This window comes from Homo sapiens, chromosome 17 (assembly GCF_000001405.40).
Source record: "Homo sapiens chromosome 17, GRCh38.p14 Primary Assembly".
NCBI lineage: Eukaryota > Metazoa > Chordata > Mammalia > Primates > Hominidae > Homo > Homo sapiens.
In genome coordinates, this window is record NC_000017.11 from 4,255,662 (window position 1) to 4,272,526 (window position 16,865).

At 45.8% G+C, this 16,865-nt stretch overlaps 2 protein-coding genes across 10 annotated transcripts in view, besides 2 other annotated features; both read right to left on the reverse strand.

The window, feature by feature from the left end:
• The window catches only part of ANKFY1 (ankyrin repeat and FYVE domain containing 1), a 100,159-nt gene extending 91,841 nt beyond the window's left edge, over positions 1 to 8,318 (reverse strand). For 5 of the 9 annotated variants that reach the window (NR_047571.3, NM_001330063.2, NM_016376.5 and 2 more), the window contains exon 1: positions 8,271 to 8,318. Coding sequence is in view for 6 of the 9 variants with exons in the window: in NM_001330063.2 (NP_001316992.1) it covers positions 8,271 to 8,280 (10 nt within the window). In the remaining 3 variants the exon portion in view is untranslated. Of the gene's footprint in view, positions 1 to 7,848 lie in introns of all 9 variants that reach the window. The other 4 variants (XM_017024733.2, XM_047436221.1, NM_001257999.3 and 1 more) reach the window with 2 other exon arrangements.
• Positions 7,615 to 7,764: a silencer, noted in NCBI's record as "silent region_8033". NCBI's record gives its function as "represses an Ori minimal core promoter by ATAC-STARR-seq in GM12878 lymphoblastoid cells {active_cell/tissue: GM12878}" and the evidence as "EXISTENCE:reporter gene assay evidence [ECO:0000049][PMID:35858748]".
• Positions 8,415 to 8,504: an enhancer, noted in NCBI's record as "active region_11537". NCBI's record gives its function as "activates an Ori minimal core promoter by ATAC-STARR-seq in GM12878 lymphoblastoid cells {active_cell/tissue: GM12878}" and the evidence as "EXISTENCE:reporter gene assay evidence [ECO:0000049][PMID:35858748]".
• The window catches only part of UBE2G1 (ubiquitin conjugating enzyme E2 G1), a 97,417-nt gene continuing 94,149 nt past the window's right edge, over positions 13,598 to 16,865 (reverse strand). Inside the window, exon 6 of the mRNA NM_003342.5 lies at positions 13,598 to 16,855. The gene's annotated coding sequence lies outside the window, so the exon portion shown is untranslated. The remainder of the gene's footprint in view (positions 16,856 to 16,865) is intronic.

A 16,865-nucleotide genomic window follows, 5' to 3' on the forward strand; every position in this document is an offset into this window, starting at 1 on the left:
AACTACAAGAATAATTTTTTGTTCCAGGCTTATATTAGGATCTTCCACAAAAAAATATTTCATTAAAGTGTCAGCTTCCCAGAAAATACTATCTTCCTTGGCATCAGATTAGAAAAGCTCTTCACTGGTGATTAATTACCACCACTACTACTTTTCTTTTTTTTTTTTCTTTTGAAACGGAGTCTCACTCTTGTCGCCCAAGCTGGAGTGCAATGGCGCGATCTCAGCTCACTGCAACCTCCGCTTCCCAGGTTCAAGCAATTCTTCTGCCTCAGCCTCCCGAATAGCTAGGATTACAGGAGTGCACCACCAAGCCTGGCTAATTTTTGTATTTTTAGTAGAGACGGGGTTTCACCATGTTGCTCAGGCTAGTCTCAAACTCCTGATCTTGTGACCTGCCCGCCTCGGCCTCCCAAAGTGCTGGGATTACAGGTGTGAGGCACCACGCCCAGCCCACAAATATGGATGTTTAAAAGCTCCCAGGTGGCCAGGCGCGGTGGCTCATGCCTGTAATCCCAGCACTTTGGGAGGCCAAGGCGGGCGGATTACGAACTGAGGAGATCGAGACCATCCTGGCTAACAGAGTGAAACCCCGTCTCTATTAAAAATACAAAAAATTAGCCAGGCGCAGTGGCGGGCGCCTGTAGTCCCAGCTACTCAGGAGGCGGAGGCAGGAGAACGGCGTGAACCCGGGAGGTGGAGCCTGCAGTGAGCTGAGATCGCACCACTGCACTCCAGCCTGGGCAATAGAGCGAGACTCCATCTCAAAAAAAGAAAAAACTCCCAGGTTAACTGTACTGTGCAGGGTTCTCCAGGTTGAGAACTATGTACTAATGGAACGAGGGAGAGAGGAAAGCACAGATGTGAGAGGTGTACAGCATCCGGGGGATTTGGTGACTGATGCAGATCTTGGGGGGAGTCGGAGATAACTTTTTGGTGACTGACTTGAGAGTCTGGCTGAAAAGTAGTGCCATTAATCATGAATATAGAAGAGAAAACCTGGTATAACTAGAAAGCAACATGCATGCTTATTTGAAATACTTTGCCTTCCCCTCTCTGTTCTGCAAGTTCCATTAAGGTTAAGGTTGTGTCTTGCTCATTTTGTCATCTCTGGCACAGTAGCTTGCACCTACCGTGAAATACGTTTTTCCTGAATGCAATTCAACTCTGCTAGGTTCGTCTGCCTCATGTTACAGTTGGTGGCATGACTTACACATCTTTCAAAAGCTCACCGTGTATAGCAGTGACAATTGGGCTGGTTTCATAAGAGATGCATAACAAATATTAGCTAACTAGCCATTTCCACCCCAAACTCCTGACTGGAAACACTTCCAACTTAGACATCACCACATAGAAGTATACTGGGCAAAGCAAATATGTCCAAAAGTGAGGTCAAAATACTTGTTCTCCAATCTATTCCTCCTCTACCTCTTAGCAGCTCAGCCATTTGTCTGAGTCATCCAGACCTAGAACTTGAGTCATCTTTGATTCTCTCTCATCAACATTCAACCAGGTTTCAAAAGTCCTGTCTTTCATACGTTCTGTGGTCTTTCTCCCATCAGTCCTCACCAGCCCCACAGCCTCTACCAAATGGCTCACCATCAACTGCTACAGCTTGCTCTCTGACTTCCTTTCTTCCCAATCCATCCTCTACACTGCAGTCATTTCGCCATGCCTCACACAATTCCTGTTCTGTCGCTACCGTGGCTGATTCCTTTCGGTAGTATCGCTCCATGAGTCTCAGAATAAAATCCAAATGCTGAACCAATGCCCTTAATAATCTGGCCCTTAACATACTCTTCCAACTTCACATCCCACTAATTCCTTCCACCTAGAACAGTGACCTCTCCTCAATCTCATGTCCCCATGTCCAAAGGAGGGCCATTTTTCAAAGCTCAGTTCAAGCAATGTCTCCTGCAACAAGACTTTCCCTGATTATCCAAAATACATTCCCCATTACTTCCTTAAAAAATCTCTCCCTGAGTTTTCAAAGTAACTCCTAAGCATTTTTTACCCTTCACCTTAAAATATAGTTTCTCATATACAATTTCTTTTATCTCCCCTCCTAGACTTCAGAACTCCCTGTGAATAAGCTTTAGTTCTGGCTATTCGTATTTAACTATCAATTACTTCTCCCTCTATACCCATTCCATGGTTATCTCCTCCTCCCGACAGTACCTTACCAGATGGAGTTCAATAAATACCACAGGTTCAACAGGAGATTCTGGGGACATAGCAATTTCTCATTTGGTTCAGCAAGGCTGTAAATCATGATAGTATCTCAAATTGCCTACAGCAAATCACCTTGCCAGTGACAGAATCCTGTGTATCTCAGCACAATTCAGTAGCTTTACTTTGACATAACCACTAATGGATAAATTTTATTTCTCAGTAAAAATAATTCACAAGGAGAAAGCTAACAGCTACAGCTGGTGACAGTAGTCACCAGGAAAGGGAGAGAAAAGAAAAGAATGGTATAAAAGGAACAGTCCTTAAGAGGTCTCTGGACTATATATAATTATCAATGACCTGGGACATTTGTTCAATAAGTAAAACAATAAACAGATAAATTTCAGAAGTAGGGCCGGGCGCGGTGGCTCACGCCTGTAATCCCAGCACTTTGGGAGGCCGAGGCGGGCGGATCACGAGGTCAGGAGATCAAGACCATCCTTGCTAACACGGTGAAACCTCATCTCTACCAAAAATACAAAAAATTAGCCAGGCTTGGTGGCGGGCGCCTGTAGTCCCAGCTACTCGGGAGGCTGAGATAGGAGAATGGTGTGAACCTGGGAGGGGAGCTTGCAGTGAGCCGAGATCGCACCACTGCACTCCAGCCTGGGAGACAGAGCCAGACTCCAACTCAAAAAAAAAAAAAAAAAGTGGAAACAGCAAAGTTCCTTCTTTCCTTATTTCTACCAGCCTCCACTAATGAAGCATTTTCTGGAACAGGACTATCCAAAGCACTTCTGGCAATGGTGCAAGTGTTCTATTAATCTGTGCTGTCCATTAGGGGGAGCTACTAGCCACATGGCTACTGAGTACTTGGAATAGGACTAGTACAACTGAGAAGTTAATTTTAAATTTTATTTAATTTTAATCAAATTTAAGTAGCCACATGTGGCTAGTGACTATTGTGTTGGTCAATGAATACCCAGGACATGGAATGTTTTCCCCATTTTGCTTGGGTTGTTGTCAAAAGTATTTTTCTGATCAAATTCCATCAAGCTAACAAAAGTTTATGATAAATTTTCTGTTCAATATACTATTTACAAAAAAATTACATTTTTTTCAATTTTTACTTTTACTGAGGAAAAGAAATGGAGAGTGATTTTAGAGGAGACTCAAGAGAAAGACTGTGCACCAGGGTGAAAGCATCAGGCGCTGTGGGAAAAGCATCAGTCGCTGTGGAAGAAACATTAGGCGCTGTGGAAAAAGGCTCTTCCTGCAACTGAGAAATATCCTAGGATTCCCACAGCTACTTGTGAGCTACAGATGATCCCCCTTTTAAAGCTGAGGACACTGAGACTGACAGCAATTAATTGACTTGCTTATGATCACAGCTTAAACTAGGATTTAAATCCATGTCCAGCTGCAGAGTCTGAGCTCTTAAACACTACATTTTATTTTATTATTATTATTTTTTGAGACAGTCTCTGTTGCTCAGGCTGGAGTGCGGTGGCGCGATCTCGGATCACTGCAACCTCCACCTTCCGGGTTCAAGTGATTCTCCTGACTCAAGTCTCCTGAGCAGCTGGGATTACAGGCACATGCCACCATGCCTGGCTAATTTTTGTATGTTTAGTAGAGATGGGGTTCCACCATGTTGGTCAGGCTGGTCTGGAACTCCTGACCTCAAGTGATCCGCCCACCTTGGCCTCCCAAAGTGCTGAGATTACAGGCGTGAGCCACCGTGCCCGGCCTTAAACATTGTATTTTAGTTGCTAAAACAAAAATGGGCTGGATGAAAAGTAGGTTAGGTAGCTCCTAGCAGACTTAGGTTATGCAGAGTATAATAAAAGGTGGACCAGCCAGTTTGCTTGACAAGAGGCTAAGGATGTATCCAGGCAACTTTTCTTGATGGCTAGCAGGTGATGCTCAATAAATTCATACATTCCTTCAACCACAGCCATGATTCTAAGCTGGGAGATACAGGAGTGAGCAAAACAGACCAAGTTCCTGCCCTCATGGGGTTTATATTCCAGTGAGGGATGCTCTCTAATGAGATGACAACTGAACAGACACTGAGTGAATAAAGTGGGTCAGTTGTGTGGAGAAACAGCGGAGGACTGTTCCAGGCCAAGGAAACTGCAGGGACAAAGACGCAGAGGTAGCAGCATGTCGGGCACACACAAAGAACGCAAAAAAGTCAGTGTGGCAGGGGCACAGTGAATGAAAGTAGGAAATAAGCTCGAAGTGTTAAGTGGGGCCCACACCCTGTTAATACTTAACAGAGAACTGGAATATATTTTAAGATTACGGAGAAGTGTGAGAGTTGGGCATTGAGGGGCAGGAGTATTAAGAAGAGTAGGAGAGACATGATCTGATTGATGTCTTAAAGGGAACACTAGAAACTGTGAAATTAGGCTGTGAGAGAGCAAAATCTAGGAGGAAAAGTTAAAAGCAAACTTTTAATTGGAACCTTTTGAAGTAGTTCACTTACAAACGAAGCTTAGGGCTGGGAGCGGTGGCTCACACCTGTAATCCCAGCACTTCAGGAGGCCCAGGCAGGTGAATGGCTTGAGCCCAGGAGTTCAAGACCAGCCTGGACAACATCACAAAACCCCAACTCTACAAAAAATACAAAAATTAGCCAATGTGGTGGCATGCACATCTGCACTCCCAGCTACTTGGGAGGCTGAAGTGAGGGAATCACTTGAGCCTGGGAGGTGGAGATTGCAATGAGCTGTGATCACGCCATTGTACTCCAGCCTGGGTGACGGAGTGAGATCCTGTCTCCAAAAAAAAAAAAAAAAAAAAAAAACCCACAAATGAAGCTTAGATTAAGCAGGATAGCCACAGAGATGTAGAGTTGGGGAATAAAACTAATTTTAGGACAGACTTTAGCTAAATATATATGGTCAAATGAATAGCCATGGATAGATGGAAGGAAAGAAGGTTGTTCTCTAAACAAGTCACATAAGAAGCTGTATCCTCAGTCTCTCACGATCCTATTTACTATTCCTAGGCACTATCTCCCACATTCTCACATGGCCAACCAACCATTATCAGGGAAGTTCCCATAGTGTGTTTACAGATCATTCAAGTTATATGACACAGATATCTGCTATTTATTTATATTTAAATAACTGTCTCCAAACAAGCATAGCAGGCTCTGAGAATCTGATTAAAGCACAAGCAGTAGTATTAATATCCCAAGAAACATTTTCTACCTAATCTTGCCTTCCTTTGCATAGCAAGCACCTTCAGATTAATAAGCTAAATGACCCAGAATGCCTCCTAGTTGAAGTCTGCAACATCGTTTCTAAAAAGCTTAAATCCCAACAAAAAGTTGGGACACAAAAGAGGTAAAAGAAAAACTGTGGCCGGCCGGGTGTGGTGGCTCACACCGGCAATCCCAGCACTTTGGGAGGCCGAGGCCGGCAGATCAGCTGAGGTTGGGAGTTCAAGACCAGCCTAGCCAACACAGTGAAACCCCATCTCTACAAAAATTAGCCGGGTATGATGGCGGGTGCCTGTAATCCCAGCTACTTGGGATGCTGAGGTGGAAGAATCGCTTGAACCCAGGAGGTGGAGGCTGTGGTGAGCCAAGATTGCGCTATTGCACTCCCGCCTGGGCAACAGAGCGAGACTCCCTCAAAAGGAAAGGGGAAGGGAAGGAAAGAAAGACTGTGAAGTCAGAACTTCATGACTGCTTACCTAGCTATCCCCCTGCTAATTTAACCCTGAAAGGATGTCTTCTTCGTGTGTTTATGGAGAGACACCCCACTGGCGAGATGTCTCTCAAGGCGCTTGCCGGATGATGAGTATGCTGACTCAGCCTGTATGAGCTCCTCAGGGCTGGAACCCGACTGCAAAGCACAGCAGGTGCTCAGTAAAGCTGCTGAATGAAAAACCAGCAGCCCTCCACAATCTCAACCTTGCTAATGTATTCCCAAAACACCGAACTTACCTTCCTAAGTGCAAAAGCGCCAGACTACCCCTTACCTCACAGAAGACCTTCCTGAACCTTTCTACCCGCCTCACTCCTGTGAGCAACAGCTGTCTGCTGTGTACAACATTCCGTGATTTACTCAAAAAGCAACTTCAGGGAATCCCTTGGGTTTTTGCTCCTTTTCTTACTCCTCTGCCTTCAGGCAATATTCACCTAAAGTTTCCCCCTCCAGGGATATGGTAGAAAAAGTAAAGACAAAAACTGGGTGCCTGCCGGGCGCGATGGCTCATACCTGCAACCCCAGCACTTAGAGAGGCCAAAGCGGATGGATTGCTTGAGCCCAAGAGTTGGGAGACCAGCCTGGGTGACATAGTGTGACCTAGTCTCTCTCTTTTTTAAGACAGGATCTTACTCTGTCGCCCAGGCTGGTGCAGTTCACTGCAACCTCCGCCTCCCGGATTCAAATGATCCTCCCACCTCCCTAGTATTACTGCGAGGACCACAGGCACCCGCCATCACTCCATTCACTCCAGGCTGGAGTGCAGTAGCACGATCTCAGCTCACTGTAACCTCCGTTTTCCGGGTTCAAGCGATTCTTGTGCCTCATCCTCCCGAGTACCTGGAATTACAGACACGTGCCACCACACCTGGCTAACTTTCGTATTTTTTGTAGATACGAGGTTTCGCCATGTTGCCCAGGCTGCTCTTGAACTCCTGGCCTCAAGCGATCCTCCCACCTCGGCCTCCCAAAGTGCTGAAATTACTAGCGCGAGCCACCACACGGGGCCAAGACCTTGTCTACACACACACACACCCCTTTTTAATTAGCCGGGTGTGGTGGCGAGCGCCCCTGGTCCCAGCTACTCAGGAGGCTGAGGCAGAAGGATCGCTTGAGCCCAGGAGACTGAAGCTACAGTGAGCCGTGACCGCGCCACTGTACTCCAGCCGGTGGGACAGAGCGAGACCCTATCTCAAAACACACACACACACCCCCCAAAACCAACTGGGTGTCAGTCACAGCTATCTCTGTAACTTTGCCTAAATTCCTTTATCAATAAAGGCAAATACACACGCCAGGCCTCCTTCACGAGGTTATCTGAAGTCTAATGCAAATGAGAAAAGCCGACCAACTGTCAGGTGCTGCCCAAATCTAAGATCCATCAAGTGATGGGTTCAGTCAAAGCTCAAAACCAACAGGAAAGGTCGTGGCCAAGCACACTGCAGTCACTCAATAAACAAAGGTCAAATAAGGAATACTGTTCTCCAATAATGGGGTGAAGAGGAGAACCAGGCTGCCCAGATCCAACAATGTCCCTGCACGATTCCTGACAGGTAACTCCCCGTCTCTGGGCCTTCTTTCCCCCTACGTGTACAATAAGGCTTTGACAATGAAGGCTTCTAATTACTGCTACATTAAGACAGGCAGACTCTGAGAGACCAGAGTGCCTTAAGCTGCAATGTCATGAAAAGTGCACGAGACCAGAGGGTAGGCACTGGACGGGGAGGCAAAGGCACAGAGGTCTGGTTTGAGCAGCCCTCTTGTGAGCAGTGTGACCTTGGCCAACTCCCTTCCCGCAAACCCCTTCCTCCCGTCTTCATCTGTACGCCTGGCCTGAAGGCTGGGGTTGCAGCAGAGCCGGAGCCGCCAGTGCGCCCGCCTGAAGCGTGGGCCAGCTCGCTGCTGCCTCGCCCCCACCCCACCCCACCTCACCCCAACCCAGCCCGAGGAGACCCACGCTCTTCCGCAAGCGAGGGATGGACCCCTTCCGGATGCAGAACGTGCCAGGACAGCAGTTTCGATTTCCTAAGGAGAAGGCTTACTTCCCCCGGCGTCCCGGCACCGCCGGCAATCAAGAGCCTCCCGTGCTGCCCTCGGGGCCCCGCGGCTGCACGCAGCACCGGCGCGGGACCTGCCAGCCCGGCTCCGCAGCCGGCCGCAGTCCCGCGGGGTCGGCATCGCGGGAGGGACGTTGTCATAGGAACCGCGCTCCGGACCCCGGCCCGAGAAGCTCCGGAGAGGCTAGACAGGAAGGCTCGCGAGACCCGCGGAGCCCCCATGCAACCACGCCCGGCCTTCCCCTCCCACGGCAGCTTCGCACGGCCAGCAGCGCCCCCACAGCTCCGTGTCTTCCCGCGCGGCTCCACAAAAAAACCCTACCTTCCGCCATGTCTGGCCCGGCACTGCCTGCAACCTCGCGAGAAGTGCGCGGCTCAACCGGGGCGGTGCGGAACGGAATCACCAAGTCTCGCGAGAATCGCGGGAGGCGCGGCAAAAGGCGGAGCCGAGGGTAGGAAAGTGGGTGAATGAAAGCGGAGGGGGTTGCTGGACTCTGGGGGAAGCGGAGAGCCGGGTTTCTTTTTACCGGGTATTTTTGAGGCTCGAGATTTATTAAGCACTGACTGAGCCCTGTCATATTCCACGTCCTTGGCAGGGCACCGAAAAGGATGACACAACGAATGCAGACTACTCTGGAGAAGCTTGGCAATGAGAGGGTCGAGAGAGGGGGTTTGTTGGTCCTTAGGTTTGTAAAGAAAGGAGAGGCTGGGAGAAAGGAGTCAGTGGAGAGGTCCCTGGGGAGGTAGGATGCTCTGCATGCGATGCAGAACTCAGGAAAACGGATTAAATTTAGACTAGAGGCAGGTCACCTGTTATTCCACTAAAACGGTAGGAAACAAGAACATGCGTGCAGATATATAGGGGGGAAGAAAATCAGGGAGATCGTTTGATGACATCGATTTTATGGGTGAAGTTATGAGACAAGGAAGGAGACCAAGAAGAGCAAAGAAACTTTGGAAGAGGACGCTGAAGTTGGAAGGCCTGGTTTCATGTGCCTCATGTATGTGTTGATGGATCACTTTTTTCTAGAACTCAGCCACCAGGCTGCAGTAGCAGATATTTTGAATTATAGCATTTATCCAGGGCTTGGGATTGCATTGCCCAAAATAAATTGAGGGTGCTATGAGACGACAGCCCAGGCCATCAAACGTGGGATACAGACTGGCTAGGGACTGATGGAGGAGCCACGAAACTGCAGGTCTCTGATAATTGAAGGCCAGTGCAGTGCAGGCAATGTTGTGAGAGCTTGGTGGTTAAAGTGGCAAACAGGTTCATAGTGAAGTAGCACTAGGAGATGAGAAAAGTCCAGGACAGGCCGGGCGTGGTGGCTCACGCCTGTAATCCCAGCACTTTGGGAGGCCGAGGAGGGTGAATCACCTGAAGTCTAGAGCTCAAGACCAGCCTGGCCAACATGGTGAAACCCCGTCTCTACTAAAAATACAGAAATTAGCCGGGCGTGGTGGTGCATGCCTGTAATCCCAGCTACTCGGGAGGCTGGGGCAGTAGAATCGCTTGAACCCGGGAGGCAGAGGTTGCAGTGAGCCAAGATTGTGCCACTGCACTCCAGCCTGGGCAACAGAGTGAGACTCTGTCTCAAAAAAAAAAAAAAAAAGTCCAGGACAGAGCCACGGAATAGAGTGGCTGAAGTGGAAGTGAGAAGGCAGGAAAATTAGATGTTGGGATTTAGAGGTAGGAAAGGAAAGGAGCATCAGGAGCTAAAATCTTTGGTGAATGTGGGGAGGACTATACGATTAGTTAAGACAATTGCAAAATGGAGGGCTAAACAGTAACATAGCTGAATAGCATGAGACCTTTCTTGTTTTTTGTTTTTTTTTTTTTTCAGAGATGGAGTCTCTGTTGGCCAGGTTGGTCTTGAACTCCTAGTCTCAAGCAGTCCTCCCACCCCAACCTCGCAAAGTACTGAAATTACAAGCATGAGCCACCATGCCCGGCCCAGCATGAGACCTTTCAAAAAAGACTTTTACTCAAGGGAGAATCAAAAGAATGCATCAATAGTTCAGGATTGCAGGGAAAGTGGTGGCCTTGGAGGACAGCCAGGAGTAAGAGACAAAAGGTTGGAAGGAAGGATCTGAATTAGCTATACCTGGTGGTGCAGGCTTTTAGTTGTCGCTACTTGGGAGGCTGAGGCTGAGGCTGGAGAATTGCTTGAGTCCAGGAGTTTGGGACTGCAGTGAGCTCTATCCTGCCGCTGCACTGCAGCCTGGGTGACAGAGCAAGACTCTGTCTCTAAAATTAAATAAGAAAAAGAAAAGAAATTTAAAAAGAAGAATCTGAGAACAGAATAAGAGTGTCAGAAACGAAAAGGAGGATTTAAAGTTGGAGAAGCTTTAGGTGCTGTTAAGGATAAGCATTAGTGGGTAGTGAGGTGGAGTGGAGGAGGAATTTGGAGCTTAGATCGTGGGAACATAGAGTCAAGCACTGAATTTTTGAGGAAGAGTAGGAATTCTGGCTGCCAGGTACCTGGGAGATGAGAGACGGTGTTGAAACGTGTAAGCCTTTTTGTTGTGGCAGGAGACGAAAGGCACGAAGATGGTAGGGGAGAACTTTCCCTACCATGGGAAGGCCATCGCTTAAAGCGTCCCTGTCTGTTGAGAATGGTTTATAGGGGTGCCCAATGGTGAGTCTTTGGGGCCTTCAGAGTGGCCAGGCAGGCCAGGCTCCTCTGGATGCAAGCAGCCTCATCTTTTTATGGTGGAGTACCCTGCGAATATTGCCTGGGCCATAACGTAAAAGCAACATGAAAGTTGTTGTAAAGTACTGTCACAGCTGACTCCCGATTTTGCATGATGACTATCGTTACCTCAGCAGCACCAGCCTAGGGTCTGGAATATAGCAGGCACTCAAAATGTTTGATGAGGTGTTTCCACTGTGTGCTATTCTGGGAATTAAGAGACCTGAGTTCAAGTTTGGCTCTGCAGCTACTTGCTGTGTTGATGATGGGCAAGTCCTTGCAAGCCTTATGCTGCATCTCAGATTCTACCTATTTGACGAAGAACTTGGACTAGAATCCATGGTTCCTAAAGATTTGGAGGGCCATGACCCCCTTTGAGAATTTGATGAAAACCAGAGACCCTCTCCGTTTGAGTAGCACACAAATGTGTGCCGTTTCAGTGTGCTTGGACTGGATGGCCATGATCAAAGAACAACTCGCCTGAAGGGATTGATCAACTCGGGGGCTTGACTGCCTCCTCATCACAACCTCGCTCTAAGGAGCCCTCTACCAGAGGATAAAGTACCCATCTTAGAAATGACTTAACGGTATCCCTGGGCCCTTGTCTGGTTTTTTTTGTTGTTTTTTTTTTTGGTTTTTTTTTTTGAGATGGAGTCTTGCTCTGTTGCCCAGGCTGGAGTGCAGTGGTGCGATCTTGGTCCACTGCAACCTCCGCCTCCCGGGCCCAAGCGATTCTCCTGCCTCAGCCTCCCGAGTAGCTGGGATTACAGGCACACGCCACCACGCCCAGCTAATTGTTTATTCTTAGTAGAGACGGGGGTTTCACCATATTGGCCAGGCTGGTCTCGAACTCCTGACCTCGTGACCCACCCACTTCGGCCTCCCAAAGTGCTGGGATTACAGGCGTGAGCCACCACGCCCGGCCAGCCCTTGTCTTTTGAGGGGACTCTTACTGACCTGTAACCCCTGAGTTAGAGAGAAGGTAGTAAAGCCTATGAAATAAAGCACTCATAGTACTCAGTAAACTACAGCACCCACCAGGTTTGGATGGAGCTATAACATTAGCTATAACCAGAAATACAGACGTCTTGAAAAAGCTGAGCACTGGAGCATGGTCCATTTTAGACCCACTTCAGGTTTTGCAGTCAGATTCAGAGGGACTTAGTGTGGTGCTGTCTCAGACAAGGAACATGAAGAACAGGAAGGGAATAAATGCTGTCTACCGTAGCTTCAAGAGCACAGGGGAACAGACTCAGGAGGCAGTGCGGTATCATGGCAGGGCAGGAAGAGGAGGACACCTCCAGTGCTAGTCCGATGAATTGGGTCAAGCACCGGTCTCAACACATCCACGCTCTGTGAGCTCTGGTTTCCTCACCTGTGAAGAAGGGCTAATAACACCCAGTATGCAAGGCAGGCGGTGGAACCGAATCCCAGCCATGCAACTTGTGTGCTGTGCAACGATGGCAAGTTAACCTGAGCCTGTTTCCTCATGAGAAATGATTACCTTGGAAGCTGCTTCTAACAATGTGACTAGAACCTTTAGGAAAAACACATAGCACAAGCTTGCCACAGAAGAGAGGCTCAACAAATAGAAAAACTTGATTTCCAGCGCTCTTGTTGGGAATAAATGGAAGTCACTGTGAATATTGCATACTGCCGAGAAGAGGAAAAAAATCAAGTTTCTTGCCTAGGACTTTCTGTGCAGCTCCTATGTCTTAGAAGATGTGTTTGGCTCCCTTTTGTGAAAGGCTTTTCCTTCAGTTTATTTACCTGTGTGAACAGAATTCAAAATTCTTTCATCATTTCGCTAAAGCTCAGTGAGGAGTGTCAACTCCACAAGCCAAAAAGCCTAATCCTACGTTGGCAGCCAGATTACACACATCTGAAATTGAACCACCAGAAATACCATACCCAGAAAATCATTTGATCTGTGAACTGAATCCTGTGAGGGTTCCGGGCCTCCTCAAGGCAGAAAGGGTTCAATTTGAAAGGCGGTTATTAGCCCTGTCCCATGAGAGGGAGCGGGAGATCCACATCTTTCCTGGGAGCCTCGTGCCTTGCACACACCATCGAAAACCTGTTCATCTGCACTGGAAGCAGCATGCAAATAAAACGTTTTGGCTCTATACCTTGAGTAGCTGATTATGTCTAAAACTGATGTAAGTTTGGGGATATATATTGTCTAGACCCTTCCACAACAGTTCATTCCAAATATATTTATCGGGTATTTGCACTCTAGAAATAATCCCTCATCTTCCCAAAACTCCTCTCGGGGGATTTTCTTGTTCATAATTTAGCTGAATAAGAGGTCTGACTCCATGTTCCTTTCTCCGAGTTTGTAAGGAAGAGCCCTTAATAGTCGCTAGTGATTTATATCAAGGACAAACAAGCTTTCAACATCTAACACTAACTCCGTATGAACTATTTGTAAGGATTCAGGATAAAAAGCTGGATGTTGATATCTTGTGTATCTTGTAAAGAAGGTTCTCTACTCAGTCTTGCCTCTTTTGTCAGTAACTTACTAAATGACCCCTGGGCAGGTATTGGCGCATTTTCCCGTCTGTTTAGAGGACAGAGGTGGTGACTGAGATGGTGCCTGCAGTCTCTTCCAGTTCACATTTGAGTCTGGGTTCCTCACCTTTCAGCTTACCTTTATGGTAGAGCCAGTTTAGGCCAAAGACAAAATCCCCAATAATGTTCTAATAAGTGCTCACTCGAAGGTTATAAATCACAGTGCACACAAACTCTGAGTTAAAACGGTGCATGGCCACGTACTGGAAATCTAAAGAGCATCATTATCAGGTTGGAAGGCAAGTTAACTTCTCTGGTTCCTTCTTTAAAGTCTGTAAAATACAAGGTTTCCCTGTGGTTCCTTTGGTATCATGTGCTGTTTATACAGAAAGAGTCCCACAACTTGCTTTTGAGACCTGCATCCTAAAACCAAAATAGCTCGTGATACAGCCTCTAAGTCATCATTTATTGATTTATAGAGCACTCATCACATGAATGAGGTGCTTTACAATACAGTAAACATCACAACAGAACTCACATAGTTAAATACAATCAACAAATTACAGAACTAAAAAAACTGAAATGAAGCAACATTATGTCAAATTTCAAAGATGCTGAGAAGTGGCAGTACAAAAAAGGTAATTCCACCAACTGGAGACCAGACGGGCAAAGATACACAGGCACCACAGCCCAAAGCGGGCAGATTCGTCGAGGGTGAGTGGGCATATCAAATAAAATCTCACAACCAAGAATGAAGGCCGTTAAAGATACTGACACCCACGTGATCACAGTACTAGTGGAATAACCTCACAAACATGTTACCTTAGTATGACACGTCAACCTCATATGGATTTTAAACTCAAAAAAGAGGCCAGAAAGCCACTCAGATCATCTATCCCATACAAGCACAGACTGAAATCTATATGCCTCTACGAGAACTTGGAATAAATTTAGGAAACAGCCAACAGTTCTACAATCCATAAGATCTATGGAGATGTTGTTGATGGTTGGCACAAGTTTAGGGGGAAAAATCATTTTCCTAAAGCAGAGAGGAATCGCCTCACACTGATGAGGCACTGGTGGGACAAAAGCCACCTCGTTCAGTGTCACCTGAATGTGGGTTTCGTATCAAATGTAGAGGCATTTAAATTTACATTATCAGATGAACACTGAGAAAGGCACAGATGACATCTCCGACAGAGGAAGGGAAGTTGTAACATCTATGTAGGCCTGTTTCAGTATGTAACACACTCAGGGCAGGTGGAAAAGCATGTGGAGACGCACTCATGCCTGGCTCTCACTTCCACTCCCGTAGAGCTAGCCCTAAAAAAAAAACCCACATGGTTTTATCAAACTAACTGCATTAAAGTGGCACTTAAAGTTCAAAAATAGTTGTCCCTGAGTTACTAGGTCATTTGCTGCTTGCTGAAGAGTCAGATCCCAAGTTTCACCTCAACAGATTGCTAGCAGAATTATAGCAATAGGAGAGCAAAATTTGAACTCCGTTTTGCCACAAGCAACCACCATGTGAACAAGTTCTGATTTTAAAAGGGAGGGATCCCATCTCTTAAAAGAATTTTTTTGTATTAGCCAGGCATGGTGGCATACACCTGTAGTCCTAGCTACTCAGGAGGCTGAGGCAGGAGGATCACTTGAGCCCAGGAGGTCAAAGCTGCAGTTAGCTATGATCGTTGCCACTGCACTCCAGCCTGGGTGACAGAGAGACCCAGTTTCTTAAAAAAAAAAAAAAAAAAGTAAAAAGGATTGTATTCCAAGTCCCTGGAGGGTGTGCAGTGCTGACATTTTGGGGCAACTATTTTTACAGTCTTTGGAAAAGGAAAAAAAAAACCAAGTCACAAAGTTCTTAAAGAAAACTGGGTTCTAATGAATCAATTTCCAGTCACAACACACTTACGAGTTTCTATAAGGTTTGTGGGTTTGTATAATGTTTACAGGTTTTTATAACGCTTCAGAGTAGAGGACAGGGACTTAGAAAAAAATCACTCTCTACTGTGACTACATCCTCAACCATTTTATTTCTGCTTAAAAAAGGACATACAACGTTTGTAGAGGTCTGGGCTCTTGGCAGGAGTTCTTTCACTCTTCTGCCAAAGCATTTCTCCAAACCCCACAGAGCAGAGATGCACGAATTCTCACTGATTCTCACAATCAAACACCATGTCCCATCTGCTACTGTCTCAAGTTCTATCCCTTATAAGCCAAAGACTACTTCCCACACACAACCTCACAACAAACATGAAGGAGCCTAAGGCCTGCCTTTAACACTGCACATGTTCATTTTACCATTTGCTGAAGTTGTTTTAGAAAACTGTATGATATGAAATATATTGAAGCTCAAACATTAATCACATCCAAGTGTACTATTGTTAGTGACGGGATCTATACGTCAAATAGCAAAGCATTTACCCCTGTAATGCTTTTAGATTCACAGAAGAATCTAGATAGAACCAAATACATATACTGCCATGGCCATGTGATTTTCAAGTATTAAAAGTTCATTTGCATAAGGAATCAACCTGAGATTTTCCTAAACCACTTCTCTGGCACTCAGTATTATAGCCTTCATTCAATACAATAAAAGCCAACAACTTGACAATTATTGAAAAAAAATTATATTTTGGAAGAACTCACTACATAAGGTGACAGAATTCCAAAATCAAATTACATGAAAATATACATCGCAATTTCTTTGTACAATAGGTGAGAAAAATCTGCAGTATAGAAGAATAGAGGCAGAGAAATATGAAGGACTAAGGAGAAGGGTATGAGAGTAAATAGGATTTGTAATAGCAAACCCAGAAGTTAAGTAGAAAGCCTGTAGCTGTGCATGCTTCATTTATCCAACCTTAATACCAGGCAACTGAAGAGGGAAAAGTCAGATTTGCTATTGTTTGGGGAAATTTTCAGTAAGTTGAATTAAGAACCATCTATTTTTAGTTCTCAGGGGTAATGACTGGGATCAAGAGCTCACAACGGCCAATAAATGTTATTGCTATATCCAATCCAAGAGGTGGGTGCAACTAGAATACAAAAAGGACAAAGCACCTAGTGATGACTCCTTCGAAGTCATCATTAAAAATCAAGTAATTGCTCATTAAGTATTTCAGTATTTGAACTAAATCATTTGAGAACATTCTGGCAGGTAAGAGATAAAAGCAAAGGGGAGTGTGTCAAAACAAAGAAGATACAAAAGTTTAGTAAGTGAAAAGAGTTTAATGAAGCCTCAAGGGTTTAAGGGAAATTAAATGGAAACTTTTAATCCTAATTGCTTTTCATCTGACATGCTTAAAGGAATCCTTTTAAACTGATAAGAAACAATGAATAGGAAAGAAAACCTGCTAAAATCTCTTAGAATTTACACGATTCTTATTCTACTACAAGAAAGCATTATTTGGTACAAGGTGTATTTGTGGATGTACATGAACAGTATATATATTATCCGGATCATGTTGTGCTATGTACAGGTCTTTACAATTCTTCCTGAAGGTTAAAACAGTTCATTAGAATTCAAAATGCGTAATCATCTGTAAGTTGGCACTTGTTAGGCTCTTGTCAGCATTGATAACTGGCATGTTTTATTGCAGCCCAGTTCCAGCCAGTGTTTGCCAACTTGTACAACAGAAGTCCAGCAATAGGTGGGTAGAGTGCAGGAAAAACAGTGCCATGTTTCTCAATTGGAGACCTACAACAAC